This window comes from Homo sapiens, chromosome 14, assembly GCF_000001405.40.
Source record: "Homo sapiens chromosome 14, GRCh38.p14 Primary Assembly".
Taxonomy (NCBI): domain Eukaryota; kingdom Metazoa; phylum Chordata; class Mammalia; order Primates; family Hominidae; genus Homo; species Homo sapiens.
The window spans coordinates 64,554,706-64,572,366 of NC_000014.9; the positions used below are offsets into that span (position 1 = coordinate 64,554,706).

Below are 17,661 nucleotides of genomic sequence, written 5' to 3' on the forward strand. Positions count from 1 at the left end.
CTAGCAGGGCGAGATTAGAACTAGCCAGACAAGACAATTATGCAGCAATCCAAGAGGCAGGTGACTAGGACCCAGATGAGCTCTGGCAGGAGAATGGAAAGATAAGCAGGGGTGGGGAGAGCCAGTAAGTGTGTGGAGTGGGTAAAGGGCAACAAGCTTATTTTTTTAAACGCATACTATTCGAGGTGCCCTGTAGGACCCCCAGGTTAAGAATCCAGTAGGCAGGAGTTTGGCCCTTAGGAGAAAGGCAAGTGCAAAATTAGGGTGGGAAGTGGAATGATTGAGGCCAGAACCCTAGGAAATACCTACTTAAAAAAATTATGAAATATATTATTTAAAATCATACTATTTAACCGTTTTCTTGTTTGCCTAGAGAATACTCGCCAGTGGCGCTTGCAGCTACAGCGTTTACCCCGAGATAACTTTGCCATGAAATGTCTCACTTTCCTTATTATTTTCTCATCATTCTAGTATATTGACTTTGGAAACAAAAGACATTCTGTTTATAGCATTCGGTTTTTAGTGGTATTTCCATTTACAAAATACAGTAATTGTCTATCGCTGAAAATTTCAAATCCTGGAAAATATAGCATTCCTACACATGATGTTAACATCGTTCTCGAACAGTTGTTAGCCGAAGATTCAATTGATAAATAAGATTTTTCCGAAATAGACGATTCTGATGATTGAGATGATTCTGATGTTAGTTCTGTTGAGAAATAACTCTAAGAATAGTTTTGTATTTTATTTTCATGTGGAAAAGCAGTCAGATTTGCTTCAGCCTCAAAGAGGGTGTTTATGTAAAATTAAATGAATGTTGGCAGTGAGCTACACTTTTCTTTTTTCTAAATAGGAAAAGGATTAAAAACATCAGTGAGTACCTGTAGTCCCAGTAAGTCGGGAGGTTGAGGGGACAGGATTGCTTGAGACTAGGAATTTGAGGCTATATTATGCCATGATCACACCTGGGAATAGCACCAGCCGCTGTACTGCAGTCTGAACAACATAGCAAGACCCCGTCTCTTAAAAAAAAATTGCAAAATACTAATAAGCAAAAACAAAGCACAGTCCCACCCAGCAAGTAACTGTTAACATCTTGTGGTATACATGTATAGCTTTCCAAATCTTCTTCTGATTTTCCCCTCTCTCTCTCTACACACACCACTCTCTTAACATTTTGCATTTCCATCATTTCATATCTTTTTCCTCATTAAAAAATTGTACATATATACTGAAAAACAAGTATATAAATGTACAAAGCAGAAAGTGAAGATTCCACCACAGTTGTATACCCAAAGACCACCAGTGCACCAATGTTAAGAGTTACCAAGTTATTTTTATTTTGTGTTTTCAACATACTGGTTACATTTACTTTACATTTTGTGACTGATAATTCCAAAATCTGAAGTCTTTGTAGATTGATTTTTTTTTTTTTTTTTTTTGAGACAGCGTTTCACTCCCATTGCCCAGGCTCACTGCAGCCTCTGCCTCCCAGGCTCAAGCAATTCTCCCTTAGCCTCCCAAGTAGCTGGGACTACAGGCAGATGCCACCGCGTCTGGCTAATTTTTTGTATTTTTGTAGAGACAGGGTTTTACCATGTTGCCCAGGCTGGTCTCAAACTCCTGAGCTCAAGCAATCTGCCTGCCTCAGCCTTCCAAAGTGCTGGGATTATAGGCATGAGCCACTGTACCCTGCCTTGCAGGTTTGATTTTGTTGCCAGTTTTACTTTTCTTGCAGCATTATTTTAAAAACTTAAAAAAATAAGTATAAATAGGCTGGGTGTGGTGGCTCACACCTGCGATCTTAGCATTTTGGTAAGCTGAAGTGGGAGGATTGCTTGAACCCAGTAGTTTGAGACCAGCCTGGGCAACATAGTGAGACTTCTGTTCCCACAATTTTTTTTTTTTTTTTTTTTTAATTAGCTGGGCCTGGTGGTATGCGCCTGTAGTCCCAGCTACTTGGGATGCTGAGGTGGGAGGATTGAGGCTGTGGTGAGTCATGATTGCGCCACTGTGCTCTAGCCTGGGTGGTAGAGTGAGACCCAATCTCCAAAAAATGTGTGTGTGTGTGTGTGTGTGTGTGTGTGTGTAAACATTTAAAACTTTTTATGTTATTTTAGAATTTTAGAGACAGGGTCTCACTTTGTCACCTAGGCTGGAGTGCCGTGGCATGATCTTAGCTCGGTGCAGCCTTGACCTCCTGGGCTTAAGCGATCCTCCCACTTCAGCCCCCACTGCGCCCACCCGCCGCCCCCCAGCAAAGAGCTGAAACTACAGGGACATGCCACCATGCCCAGCTAATTTTTCTGTAGAGATGGGGTTTTGCCATGTGCCCAGGCTGGTCTGGAACTTCTGAGCTCAAGCAATCTGCCTGCCTCAGCCTCCCAAAGTACTAGGATTACAGGTGTGAGCCACCATGCCTGGCCCATTATAACTTTTTATATTAGAAGATTTCAAATATATAAAGGTAGGGAAGATGGTGTAATGAACCCCAACAAACCCTTAACAGCATCAAGAAGTACCAAATTAAAGTCAATTTCATATCTATACCTCTGTCTACCCTGCTCCTCAATTATTTTGAAGCAAATCCCAGGCATCATATCATCTGTAAATATTTCAGTATGTATCTCAAAGAATAAGCACTATCTTAGAAAACACAACTGATGTAGGTTGGGAGTCCCAATATATAAAATAAGAAGAAGAAGGGGAAAGAGAAGGAGAAGGGGGACAAACAGGGGAGGAGGATACAACTGAATTACTATTTATATACCTAAAAATACAAATGGTAATTCCTTAATATCATATATTCAGTTATAGTCATTTGGTATTCAAATGTCCCCTGTTGTCTGCTATTTTTTAAGTTTGTTTCAATCAGTCTTTAAAATAAGGTTTGTACATTACAATTGGCTTGATATGTCTTAATTATTGTACACATTTTAAGCCTTTGATAGATATCTTCATACTGCTCTCAAGAATAGGAGACAGGCAAAGAAAGAGGAATTGGCCAAAGACAGAGAAAGAATGGGCTGGGGGCAGTGGCTCACGCCTGTAATCCTAGCATTTTGGGAGGCCTAGGTGGTGGATCATGAAGTCAGGAGTTCAAGACTAGCCTGGCCAAGATGGTAAAACCCCGTCTCTACTAAAAATATAAAAAATAGCCAGGTGCAGTGGCAGGCGCCTGTAATCCCAGCTACTCAGGAGGCTGAGGCAGGAGAATCGCTTGAACCCAGGCGGCAGAGGTTGCAGTGAGCTGAGATTGTGCCACTGCACTCCAGCCTGGGTGAAAGAAAAAAAATAGAGAAAGAATGATTAGAAAGGTCAGAGGAAAAACCCTGATACAGATAGGCCTCAGGGGCAAAAGAAGGTTCTCCAAGAAAGAGGATTGGGCAGGGAGGGGTCAGCAGTGTCACAGGCTGGAGAGTTCTGAGGAGGGCAAACACTGCAAAAAGGCCTGTGGATTTAACAAATTACGGATCCATAGGGACTAGGTGAGAAGCAGCTTCAGGAAGGCTGTAGGGTATACATCAGATGACAGTGGTTACAGGTGAGAATCTGAGATAAAGATGAAAAAGTAGCAAAAATAGAGTACTCAGCTGGGTGTGGTGGCTCACTCCTGTAATCTCAGCACTTCGAAAGCCTGAGGTTGAGGGTCGCTTGAACCCAGGAGTTTGAGACCAGCCTGGGCAACATAGCAAGACCCTGTCTTTACCAAAAATGGACAAAATTAGCTGAGCATGGTAGTGTGTGCCTGTGGTTCCAGATACTTGGGAGGCTGAGGTGGGAGGATCACTTGAGCCCAGAAAGTTGAGGCTGTGGTGAGCCATGATCCTGCCACTGCACTCCAGTCTGGGCAACAGAGTGAGACCCTGCCTCAAAAAACAAATAAACAAAACCCCCAAAATAGAGTACTCTTGCTTTTTTGGTTTGTTTTGTCTTTTTTTTTTTTTGAAATGGAGTCTCGCTCTGTTGCCCCAGGCTAGAGTGCAGTGGTGTAATCTCGGCTCACTGCAACCTCCCCATCCTGGGTTCAAGGGGTTCTCTTGCCTCAGCCTCTTGAGTAGCTAGAATTATAGGCACGCGGCACCACAGCTGGCTAATTTTTGTATTTTTAGTACAGACGGGTTTTCACAATGTTGGCTAGGTTGGCCTCAAACTCCTGACCTCAGGTGATCTGCCCGCCTCGGCCTCCCAAAGTGCTGGGATTACAGGTGTGAGCCACTGTGCCCAGCCCAAAATAGAGTACTCTTATCAGTAGGTTTACCAGTGAATGAAGGAAAGACATAGTAGCCTTTAGTGGATCTGGGACTAAGGGAAGGTTTTGGGGATTTTTGTTAGTTTTGATTTAAAGGTAGGAAAATCTTGAGTGACTTTGTTATGGCAGAAAAAATAAATAAACAGAGAAAGGAAGGTGGGACTGGGATCAAGATCAGAGGTCGGGGTTGGAAGAGAGAGCCGCGGCTTTTCCACTGGGTGGTGGGAAGGAGGTAATGCAGACAGCTTGGGCATTTGGAGGTACAGGCAGGGATATCCATGCTGCCCTGCTTACTGAAAAGAAACCAGACCCTTCCAGGCTACTATCGAAAGGAGAGTCTGTTGTTAGTGGTGCTGTGGAACCGAACTCTTTCCCTGGGATTGCTGCTCTGCTTTGGGCTCGCTTACCAGGAACTGCTGCCACTGCTACACTGGGCTGGGCACCAGGGCTGAGGAAAGTTGCATTCACCAGAGCGGCCTGATCCAGATATGGGACCTGGATTTCCTGAAGTCCAGTGGACAGAGGAGACAGAGAAGGCTTCCCAAGGAAGGTGATATCTAAGCTACGACCTGAGGAAAAATAGGAATTGGCAAGGTAAAAGGCCATTTGATTTGGGGAGGAAGAGAGTGCATTCTAGGGAGAAGGAACATGGGCAAAGCCCAGACCTGCAAGGGCATGGGCCATAATGTGGGGACTGCAGGTGGTTCATTAGGCTGGGTATATGGTCCCAGACAAAGTAGATTTAAACCAGGGCCAGATTATAAAAGATCTTGCATACTGTGGTGAGGAATTGGAACTTTATTTAGATGGCACAGGGGAGTCATCAAAGCAGAGAAGTCACCTGTGATTAGAATTGCATCTTAGGCCCGGGTGTGGTGGCTCACGCCTGTAATCCCAGCACTTTGGGAGGCCAAGGCGAGGAAATACCTGAGGTCAGGAGTTCAAGACCAGCCTGGCCAAAATGGCAAAACCCCATCTCTAATGAAAATACAAAAATTAGCTGGGCATGGTGGTACGTGCCTGCAGTCCCAACTACTTGGAAGGCCTGAGGCAGGAGAATTGCTTGAACCCAGGAGGCGGAGGTTGCAGTGAGCTGAAATCACGCCATTGTACTCCAGCCTGGGCAACAAAACTAGAATCTGTCACAAAAAAAAAAAAAAAAAAAAAAAAAAAAAAGAACCGCATCTTAGAAAAGTGGCTGGGCCAGGCACAGTGGCTCACGCTTGTAATCCCAGCGCTTTGGGAGACTGAGGCAGGCAGATGGCCTAAGCTCAAGAGTTTGAGACCAGCCTGGGCAACATGGCAAAACCCTATCTCTACCAAAAAATACAAAAATTAGCCAGGCATGGTGGTGCACACCTGTAGTCCCAGCTATTTGAGAGGCTGAAGTGGGAGAATCATCTGGGCCCTTGAGGTAGAGGCTGTAGTGACCATGATGGCACCACTGCACTCCAGCCTAAGCAACAGTGAGACCCTATCTCAAGAAAAAAAAAAAAAAAAGAAAGATGACTGGCTCAAAGATGGAAAATTGTTTGCGGGGAGATAAGACTGGAGGCAAGGAGATCAGTTAAGAAGCAGTTACAGAAACTCAGTTGACAGATGGCTAAAATTAGGATGGTGGCAGTGGAAAGAGAGGGAAGTAGCTTAAAAAGATTAAGAATTTAGTGATTAGTGAGCCATGAGGAGTGAGGGTGATGGAGGAATCAAGGAAGACACCATTTTCCAGCGTGAGCACCTGGTTTGATGGTGGTACTTATTTACTGAGATGGAGGAAACAGGAGGTGGGAATACACAGTAAAGGGGGAATGTGTTTATTTTGGACAGACTGAGTTTGAGATGCCTCTAAGACAGCTGATTGACAGTGTTCAATAGACTGATGTGTCACTTTATAAGTCTGCAGAGAGATCTGAGCCTTGAATATAAATTTGTGTGTTATTGGTGCTAGTGAAGTAGATGGAATTATTCAGAGGGAATGAGAAGAATGACCATATGAAGCTCTGAGAGGGCCCTCATTTAGGGAAGGAACATGCCTCAGAAAAGGAGCTTTAGAAGGAGACCAATAAATTGTAGCCAGAGAGAGGGGAGGAAAATAGAGTGTCCTGAATCCAGACAATCTGTTTCATAAAGTAACATCTTGATCTCAGGGGCATCAAGTTTTATCCCATCAACTTAAGACCCTGAAAGTTCTGAGGTTTCAGTCCTCTTCCACCTGGGGTAGGCCAACTTTTATACCCACTAGCCAAGAGGAGTGCTAGACTTCTAGGTATTCTGAAGCTCAGATCAAGAAAAGATGATCCCTTTCCCCTCCCCCAGCTTGAACTTCCTGACTTCTCTCCTGGTCAAATGAAACAGGAAATCTTACCCTCAGAGACAACCTAGCTCCCTACTCATAGGCAACTCTTGCCTTACTTTTGCAGATTGTACCCTGATGGGGATGACTATTAGAATACAACAGGATACCCTAACCTCCATGCAAGAAATGCCAGGGAAAGGGTGGCCATTATTTATTAATAGGTAGTTAAGGAAGAGCAGTGGAGAATGGTTTGAAGGGAGACCTGGGTTCACATCCTAGCTCTGCCCCTGACTAGATGGTTATCAGTTGTCAAGTTACTTAGCCTCAATAATTCTCAGCTCCTTAATCTATAAAATGAAATAATAATGCCTCGTGAGAAGTAAATGAGGGTGCTGGTATAGTTCATCAGCATGCATGCCCATTTCTTATTTGGTAAAGAGATAATACCTTTACTCACAGGCATCATCTAGGTTGGCCCATGAGGCAGACTTTTCTCTCTGACATAGTACCTGCTATCCTTTCTCTTCTTGCTTCAAGTGCCCCTATTCCAAAGCTGGCAGAGAACCAGCAGTCTGCCTGAATGTTTGCCAAGGTCATGGACTCCCCTGAGGACATAAAACCAAGGAAACCCTACTCTTTCGTCATGGCCTGAGAGAAGACTCTCTGAGAACCATCAAAGAGGTCTAACTTGTGTGGAAGCCAAGAGTGGTCCAGCCCTCTGCATTTACGTGATGGATTCTAGAGAGAAAATATGAATTTCTTTCCTGTTTACTTCAAGGCAAGGGGAATGACATGATTATATTGTAATATTAGGGAACTACATCTACCTTGTACTCTGGGAGATAGTAGGAGGGTATAGGCTAGCTAGCCCAGACCGTGGTTTGGGCACCAATCAGAGGTTCAATTCACAGCACAATTTTCAATTATTGGCTGGGCGCGGTGGCCCACACCTGTAATCCTAGCACTTTGGGAGGCCGAGGTGGATGGATCACTTGAGGTCAGGAGTTTGAGACCAGCCTGGCCAACATGGTGAAACCCCATCTCTACTAAAAATACAAAAATTAGCAGGATGTGGTGGCAGGCACCTGTAATCCCAGCTACTTTGGAGGCTGAGGCAGGAGAATCGCTTGAACCCGGGATGAAGAGGTTGCAGTGAGCTGAGATCACGCCACTCCAGCCTAGGTGACAGAGTGAGACTCAGTCTCAAAAAAAAAAATTTCAGTTATTACTAGTGTTGCTTGTTGGTGATTCCAAATGCATTGTGAGCATAGGCTGCTTTCAGGGCTATGGCAGAGCACTCACTCACAAAGTGGAACCTGTCTTACCAGCCAAGCTAGAGAATGACTTCAGTGAAGTGAAAGCCATTCAGACAAGTGTGAAGTAGAGAAGGTGTGTCCAGAGGTCAGAGCATAAAGACTAAAAGCTTAGCAGTAAATGCCAGACTATTGGCTAAGGGCAGGCACTATCTACCAGTTTCTAACACTGGGACATGGGTCAGCCTCTCCAAGCCCTAGTTCTCCATCAGTAAAATGACAGCATTATACTAGATGATATTTTTTTACTTCCAATAACCCCCAAATTCTATGATTTTATGATTTTATTTTTTATTTTATTTTATTACTATTATTTTTTTGAGATGGAGTTTCACTCTTGTTGCCCAGGCTGGAGTGAAATGGCATGATCTCGGCTCACTGCAACCTCCGCCTCCCGGGTTCAAGCAATTCTCCTGCCTCAGCCTCCCAGGTAGCTGGGATTACAGGCATGGGCCACCACGCCTGGCTAATTTTGTATTTTTAGTAGAGATGGGATTTCTCCATGTTGGTCAGGCTGGTCTCAAACTCCCGACCTCAGGTGATCTGCCTACCTCGGCCTCCCAAAGTGTTGGGATTGCAGGCGAGAGCCACCGTGCCCGGCCTCACTTTTTTATTTTATTTTTAGACAGGGTCTCACTCTGTCACCTAGGCTGGCTAGAGTGCAGTGGTGTGATCTCAGCTCACTGCAGTCTCCACTTTCTGGGCTCAGGCAATCCTCCCATCAACATTTGGTATTTTTCCATTTCTTTTTCCCTGTACACCTCCATCCCCAGTATTTTAGCACACCCTTCCCCATGAATACCCAATTCTTGGAGACCAGTGATAAGAGCAGCACCAGAAAGAATGAAAAGCTTAGAAATCATCACTGGCCAACTTGGTGCCAGTCATCTTAAAAAAAAAAAAAGAAAGAAAAGAACAGTGGAAAAATTGTAAAAAATCATTCCCTTGAGGTAATATTATGTACATGCTTTTGGTAGCTAACCTACAACATGAATATTGCCAGGCAGTTGGAGAAACTCCTGGAAGAAGAAGAAAGTACCAAGCTGACTTTATTACTGTCATGGGGAGGTATTTAACAAAATTTCTTTGTGGGATTTACCAAGGAAATAATAAAGTTCTCATTATTGATATCCATATTTAGAGAATGAATAAAGTTGAGGGGAAGTGCTTCTATTACTGCATCTGCACCTCAGCTTAACAGAGGGACACATAACTTTGGGCAGAGGGTAAACTTCGGCATTGTGTTATCAATGTGGCATTGTTATAACCCACAATGGGTTTGGCAGACACCACAGTTCTCCCAGAAAATGTACTATTTATAAGGCAGGAACCTCGTCCTGTTAGTCTTCAAAACACTTTTCTCTGTTTTTCTGTTAGCATTTGCTGAGACTCTCGAGAGTCTGTTCAATGGCTCTGATCAGAAACCATCTTATTTTCAATGTCATAGCAATTCCTAACACATAGCAGATCGTCGGTATAGATTTGTTTGTTGTTTAATTGGGTTCCTTTGTTAGTCAAACTCATTACGGCTTAGTAGTGCTTGTACAACATGCTAAGAAACTCTGAGTTAAGTAAAAGGTCCTGAAACCTACCTGGAGATGGAGATGGCTGAGGCCTTTAGAAGAGTCCACAGCAGTGAATACTGAGATTGCTGTTTGGGAGGCAGGATTGCCTGGTGGCTCAGTACTTGGCTCTGTGGCTAAAAACCTGGGCACCGCTCATGACTTTGCCAGTTGCTGTTATTTTAGTCAAGTCACTTAATTTCTTTTTAAGTTTCCATTTTTCTTGTATGTAAAGATGGTGATCATATTTTGTGTTAGAGTTTCCATGAGGGTTAAATGAGATTGTGCCTAAAAGCACTTGTCATATAACAAGTGCCTCAATAAATAATCTTTTCAAACTTACCAAGAGCTTTCTGTTTCTTATGAAGTTACTACAATATTTTTCAGATATTCTGTGTGTGGTGGTATTCTGGAGATTGCTGATGGTTAGAGGCTGAATGTAAAGTCTGAAGTTTTAATTTTTTCTCTAGATAAGTGTTCCATATATAAATAGATGAATTGAACACTGCTGTGTCTCAGATCTGCTGATAATATATGCTAGTCCAAAGATTATGAGCTATGATATGATTTGACTTGTTTTCCCCTGGAAAAGGTGAAGTCCCTAATTATCTCATTTTTATTGCAGTTTTACACCTGCAGCAGAAGTCAAGGAAAAAGGAAAGAAAGGCAAAGCAGTTCACTTTGCAGAAACTGATGGTCCAGCTTCAGACAGGTAGATTAACTTCCCAATCATGCCAGAGTTGCTGATAGCATCTCTCAGTGGAATGGCTTCAGCCTTTACAAACTACGAAAATACCATTCCCATTATTCTAGGTCGCAATGCGAATACCCATCAAAGAAAGAACATGTGCTGTTTCAGCATTATGGTGGGAATTACGATAGTCCCGATAAATGTATCCTGTTAACTTGGCTGTTAGCACATCTTCAACTTTTTACAGTTTTTTAAAATTTGAAAATGATAGGTACACCAGAACAGATGATTTAAATGATCTATTTTGGATGGTATTTGTACTTACATTTTATATCAGGCAGTGAACATCCCTCTTGCCTTAATATAGTAAATAAAATGTTTAATAAAAAGCATTCCAAAATGATCGTACATCAAACAAAACCCATGTATGACACTCAGGCTCTTATTACTTTTTAATAAATGCTTCCTGCACCTCAGGATAGATTAAATACAACTAAAATATATTAAAACACTACTAGAAACTGTTATATTCCAAAACAGGTTGACAGATAAAAGACTTGCTGCAAAAGATGATAAGTCAGCTAAAGCTGTAGAGAAACGAGGTCAACAGGGCACCATTACACTGGATGATGTTAAATGTGAGTAACTGTTTCTTTATGCATACATAAACATACATCTGTACATACATACACATATCCATACATAAACATCCGCCCATCTACATATAACATCCATACATAAACGTATCTTGTGTGACTCTCTAAGGTAGCTCTTTGTCCCTCTCTCAATTGTTCATTTTCTCTTTTCAGTTGTTACTTTGCTTTTGCTACAAGATACTGAGATGCAGCGGATCTGTTCTTTTACAACATTTATGAGGTATCTATTGCTTATGAGTCATTTTAGATCTTTTATCCTTTATTTTTCAGTAACTTCATCTGATAAGTGATGACAAATCTGATTTTTAGAGGAAGAGCGTGAGGCTGGCTCTATGCAAGCCATCCTCTCAGGACCTAGTCACAAAGACTGCGACCAAAGAGTCAGGGAGAGGAAGCCAGAAGTCATGGGAACCCCAGATAAAATCCCAGGGCAAGTAGTATGGAGAGCATGCTGTCAGAGTCTCACATGGACTGTGCTATTTTTATATAATAGTTAAAGGATATACCCATTTACTGGCCAGGTGCGGTGGCTCACGCCTGTAATCCCAACATTTTGGGAGGCCGAGGCAGGTGGATCACAAGGTCAGGAGTTTGAGACCAGACTGGCCAACGTGGTGAAACCCCGTCTCTACTAAAAATACAAAAATTAGCTGGGCGTGGTGGTGGGCGCCTGTAATCCCAGCTACTTGGGAGGCTGAGGCAGGAGAATTACTTGAACCTGGGTGGCGGAGGTTGCAGTGAGCTGAGATTGTGCCAATGCGCTCCAGCCTGGGTGACAGAGCAAGACTCTCTCAGACCAAAAAAAAAGAAAAATACAAACATTAGCCAGGCGTGGTGGCAGATGCCTGTAATCCCAGATACTTTGGCGGCTGAGGCAGGAGAATCGCTTGAACCTGGGAGGCAGAGGTTGCAGTGAGCCAAGATCATGCCATTGCACTTCAGCCTGGGCGACAGAGCAAGACTCCCTCTCAAAAAAAAAAAAAAAAAGATATACCCATTTACTGAAGATCACTTTTCTCTACTAGTTATGTTTGGCAGCCCCAGGATGTGCTAGGTGTGTGACTCTGGGTAAGTTTCTTGACCTTTGTAAGCCTCAGTCTCCTCAGCTACAAAATTGGGAAGTAATTGTGTAATTGTGGGCCCTTTGTATGGCTATGCGTGGCTGTGCCTCACGTGGCCTCAGCACCGCGAACGCTCAGTGAGAGTTGGGTGCCCGATGCCATTTGCACCCCTCCCCATTCCCTCTGCACACACATACAGGCTGCTTGTGGCAACTGCCTGAGACTCGGCCTGAAGGGCTCATTCCACCACAGGCACACACTCAGCCTGACTGCAGGGCAAGTTCAGAGCTAGGGAATCAGTGCCCTAGAAGCAGCCCTCATTCAGTGCCCTGCTGGTGGAGGAGTTGATAGGTAAACTCTTGAGATGTTTTCTACACTGTCTCCCAGAGTCACTGCAGGACTGAACTCCACTTAATTGTTAACAGCCTCTTTGTTGGCTTCCTTTCCTTTCCTGTCTCATTTCCCCACTTTCTTACTGATGTTTCCTGAGATCACTCCCAACTAAACTGTTCACTTTCAAGTATTTGGCCCAGTGTCTGTTGCTGGGGGAACCCAGCCTGAGACAGGGAGTTATTAATATCTTGAAAAGAAAATCTGTAATGCTCACCCTCATCCTGCTCTTTAGGTATAGTTCAGTAAAGCAATGCCAGAGAAAGAATTTCCATCTGGGGCCACAAAGAAGGCAGCAAAAGTCTTGAAAAATATTTAGAAAGAAAACAGTGACTTCTAGTTAAAAACAAATGAGAGAACATTGTAAATCAGTGCAGCCTTTTTGGAGAGCAAGGCACATACACTCTGTGGTAGCAATTTCACTTCTGTCTATAATATTTTTAAAAAAACCAAATACCCACAATAGAAAACTAGGTAAATATGAGGTATAGAATATTCTATTCAGCTCTTTAAAAGAAAGACGGAAATCTACATATAATATCATAGAAAGAGGTCTATGCTACGCAGAAAAGTGACAAAAGCAAGTTGCAAAGAATTGTATGTATAGTATTACGCCACTTATTACCAAAAAACATTTTGAAGGCATATATTCATGTACATGTGTATATGTTGGTGGAGGAGGATGTTACATGTGATTGTCTATGTTTTCGAAAGTTTAGAAAGGATTCATACCAAACTCTTTTTTTTTCTTTTTTTGAGATGGAGTCTCGCTCTTTTGCCCAGGCTGGAGTGCAGTGGCACAATCTCAGCTCATTGCAACCTCCACCTCCTGGGTTCAAGCGATTCTCCTGCCTCAGCCTCCCAACTAGCTGGGATTACAGGGATGCACCACCACGCCCGGCTAATTTTTGTAATTTTTAGTAGAGATGGGGTTTCGCCAGGCTGGTCTCGAACTCCTGACATCAAGTTATCCACCCACCTTGGCCTCCCAAAGTGCTGGGATTACAGGCATGAGCCACTGTGCCTGGCCCATACCAAACTCTTAATAGTGGTTACCACTAGGGAGTAGGATGGTGACAGAGGTAGGAGGAGAGAATTTTTACTTGATACATTTCTCTACATTTTTTAAACAATGGAAATATATTGTATAATAACTTTTTAAAAATTAAAATTAATTAGTAAGCACAACTATAAGAATTTAGTGTTTGACCTCTCCAAAAGTTTTACTTACAAAAACCAGATTTCTTAAATTTTTAAATATATAGTAGATATAATTTTAAGTGGTAAATTAGTTCTTTGATAGGCATGATAACATAGTTTTCTACTTATTCTTGTGTTGTGTGCTCATATATTTTTTATGAGAAATCTTACATTTGAAATAGGTTAGCATTGACTCTTTTTTTGTTGTTTCAAATCTCCCCATAGGAATAAGAATCTTGATAATTTCCTCATGGCATTATTGTACTACTTATCCCATTACTTGGAAAAAAACTCACTGGAAAAGAAACCCAAAAGCTATATGGTGTAAGTAAGATTTTATAGTGTGCTTTAGAGTTTTATCACTGCCAGTATTAAAAGTAACTTTTGTCTAGGATAAAGAGATGATGGAAATTTTTAAATCTTTGAGATGTACTAAGACATTTTACATGGGAAGAGTGTGTCAGTTTTTAAAGCTCACTGGATAATTTATATGTGTAGTCCAGCAACAAAATATTCCAACTGATACAGACTAGCATTGCACAGTAATGAGATAATGAAAGCCATGTATGTAATTTTAAATTTCTGGTAAACATATCTTAAAAATGTAATAAGATACATGTGAAATTAATTTTAATAGTGTCTTTTATTTAACCCAGTGATGCAAAAAATATTATCATGCAACAGTAGTTGATATATCAAGTTATTAATGAGATGTGTTACTTTTTTGTAGTAAGTCTGGTGTCTATTTTATACCTATAATATATCTCAATTCATACTAGACACATTCTCAGTAGCCACATGTGGCTAGTGGCAACCATCTTGAAGGTGCAGATATAGTTGTTGTTTGTGTGCTTTTTATGCTTACAAAGTTCTTGCTAAAGGGCTTGTAAGCATCCAATTAAAAAAAATCTAAGAATTAAAAAAATTAATATATTTGGCCAAAGTGGCATTCCACATCACAGGAAAAAAAATTCAAGGTTTCTTAGGCTACTTATAAAGAATTTAAATGCTTTAGCTTTAGGCAGAAGTGGCGCAGAGGTGTACACCAGGGCAAGAATCTGGGAACTCAGAATACAGAGCAGAACAATGCCTCTCAGCCTTGGTGACCTTTTGCAAGCCATGGAACTTTCCACACGCCAGGCTGCCCTCCCCAGTACGTGTGGAACCAACCCAATGATTTAGCTGTTAGGAATGCTGGGTAGAGTAATTAAGTTGTTGCTGCAGGATGTTTTCAAAATGCAAAACCCTGTATACAATCAAGCAGTTGGAAAAACATCTTATGGATAGAATAAATGTATCTGGATAGTTTTGTAAAGAACCAAATAAATAATTTAAAAACTCTTGTTCCTGTAAAGCCATCATAATATACAATATCAGTGTTATTTTGGGACTGTATTTCACAACAGGGCAGCCAGAGCATGAAATGTTTCTATGGTAGCAAGCAAAAGGGTTTAAAGCCAGCTGTGGACTTAGAAGGTTTGAAGATTCTTACTATTTCCAAATGAAACGTAATTAGACATTTTTGGCACTTTGGCTTATTACATTTTTTTATCGTATTTCCTCTTCTGAGGCTTATTGCTAATCTGGCAAAAAGATTTGTTTAATTTCTTTTTTCTTTTCTTTTTTTTTTTTTGAGTTGGAGTCTGGCTCTGTCACCCAGGCTGGGGTGCAGTGGTGCAATCTCGGCTCACTGCAACGTCCACCGCTCAGGTTCAAGTGATTTTCCCACCTCAGCCTCCTGAGTAGCTGGGATTACAGGAGCCCACAACCACGCCCAGCTAATTTTTATATTTTTAGTAGAGATGGGGTTTCACCATGTTGGCCAATCTGGTCTCGAACTCCTGACCTCAGGTGATCTGCCTGCCCCAACCTCCCAAAGTGCTAGGATTACAGGTGTGAGTAACCGTGCCTGGCCTACTTTCTTAATTGATAAGAATAGATAATAAGACAGGTTTTCTAGTTGAAGATGCACTAAACATACTAGAACACAGTGGTATAAGGTAGACTGTTCCTTAGAAGGAATCAGTTACTCAGATTGACAAAAACAAACCAATTGAAGCCTTAAAAGTATGGATTTTGGCCGGGCACGGTGGCTCATGCCTGTAATCCCAACACTTTGGGAGGCCAAGGCGAGTGGATCACGAGGTCAGGAGTTCGAGACCAGCCTGACCAACATGGTGAAACCCCATCTCTACTAAAAATACAAAAATTAGCCAGGCGTGGTGGCACACTCCTGTAATCCCAGCTCCTCAGGAGGCTGAGGCAAGAGAATCACTTGAACCTGGGAGGCAGAGGTTGCAGTGAGCCGAGATGGCACCATTGCACTCCAGCCTGGGCGACAGAGCGAGACTCCGCCTTAAAAAAAAAAAGTATGGAGTTTATGGTGTGATTCTAAAAATAAAAATTACAACTTTTTATTTTCAGGCTTCCTGTGGTCAGTTGGTTTACTTACTATAATAGAATTAAATATTGATTGCATTGAGGTATCTGCACAGAAGAAAAAAACTGATTTCAAATACCAAGATAGAGCATAGGGATAGTAATAGCATTTAATTCACAGAGTTATTATACAGAAGTAGATGAGACAGTGTATCTTAACCCAGTGCATGGCACTTGGGAGGAAAGCCTACAGCCGTGAGAGGAAAGCAGAAAAGGGTGAAGATGGATGGCAACGGTACACTTAATTGATGTCAGGTGATTAAAAGCCCTACTTCCAAAAGAAGAAGCCTTATCCCTATTTTACAGATGAAGAAATTAAGGCTCACAGAGGTTAAATAGTTTGTTGGGGATTACGTACCATACCTAGGAGATGACATTACAGTTCCTAGGTGGAACTGATATTAGAACCCAGGTCTGTTTAACTCCAAGGCTTGTGCCTTAATCACTGTACAACATGCCCAGCACTTCCCACCAATCAACTGCACTGTTTTCCAGAGTTTATCTGTCCGTAATTAGAATTTTTAGCTTCTGAACAATTATGTATGTACTGTTTGTTTGTTTGTTTGTTTGTTTGTTTGTTTGAAACGGAGTCTTGCTCCATCAACCAAGCTGGAGTGCAGTGGCACAATCTCGGCTCACTGTAACCTCTGCCTCCCGGGTTCAAGTGATTCTCCTGCCTCAGCCTCCTGAGTAGCTGACACTACAGGCATGTGCTACCATGCCTGGCTAATTTTTTATATTTTTGGTAGGGATAGAGTTTCACCATGTTGGCCAGGCTGACCTTGAACTCCTGACCTCAGGTGATCCACCCACCTCAGCCTCCCAAAGTGCTGGGATTATAAGCCTGAGCCACCGTGCCCAGCCTGTATGTACTTTTAAACATAATATCATATGTACTTTCAAGTTACTATAATCTTCATAATTATAATTTTTAATGGTAGCATAGTTTTCCATCAAGCCAATGTGTGTGAATTGACTTACCTACTAAGAGGCAGTATATTATAGTGGTTAAGGGTACAGATTTTGATGCTTGGGTTACATCTCGTGGAAGACTCACTCATAAGTTAGGTTAATAAGCATCAAGTCCTTAAACAATACCTGACCGTATTGCTGCTCCCTTTATCCTTCTGTATTAGTCTGTTCTCATGTTTCTAATAAAGACATACCCAACTGGGTAATTTATAAAGGAAAGAGGCTTAATGGACTCACAGTTCCACATGGCTGCGGAGGCCTCACAATCATGGTGGAAGGCGAATGAGGAGCAACAGCATGTCTTACATGGTGGCAGGCAAGAAAGCATGCGCAGGGGAACACCCCTCATAAAACTATCAGATCTCATGAAACTTATTCACTATCATGAAACAGCATGGGAAAGACCCGCCACGATGATTCAGTTACCTCCCATTGGGTCCCTCCCATGACACATGGGAATTATGGGAGCTACAATTTAAGATGAGATTTGGGTGGGGACACAGCCAAACCATATCACCTTCTATTTTATATATTTTGGCAGTTTCTAATTTTTCTGATATATAAATAATGATTGCATTGAATATCCTCATGCATAAAAGTTTCCTCCTAATTTTGGATGATTTTTTTAAAAGAATAAATTTCCAGGAGAGATGATATTGGATCAAAATTTATGATAATTTCTATGGCTCTTGAAATTATTTTCAGTTTTTTTCCCCAAAGGATTATGCCAATTTTCTGTTACAAGCAATGCATAAGCGCATCCGTTTCAACAAAATTTTGTCAGCATTATTGTTTGCACTTTTAAAGAATGTGCTTTAAAAGTGAACCACTA

The 17,661-nt window shown here is 41.9% G+C and overlaps 1 protein-coding gene across 7 annotated transcripts in view; it reads left to right on the forward strand.

Annotated features, from left to right (window-relative positions):
- PPP1R36 (protein phosphatase 1 regulatory subunit 36) overlaps positions 1–17,661 on the forward strand; it is a 39,421-nt gene that overhangs the window by 4,745 nt on the left and 17,015 nt on the right. For all 7 annotated transcript variants that reach the window (XM_047430998.1, NM_172365.3, XM_011536468.4 and 4 more), the window contains 4 exons: positions 10,046–10,132; positions 10,652–10,749; positions 10,921–10,987; positions 13,644–13,742. In XM_047430998.1, coding sequence (XP_047286954.1) covers positions 10,953–10,987; positions 13,644–13,742 — 134 coding nt within the window. In that variant the 5' untranslated portion in view covers positions 10,046–10,132; positions 10,652–10,749; positions 10,921–10,952. The remainder of the gene's footprint in view (positions 1–10,045; positions 10,133–10,651; positions 10,750–10,920; positions 10,988–13,643; positions 13,743–17,661) is intronic.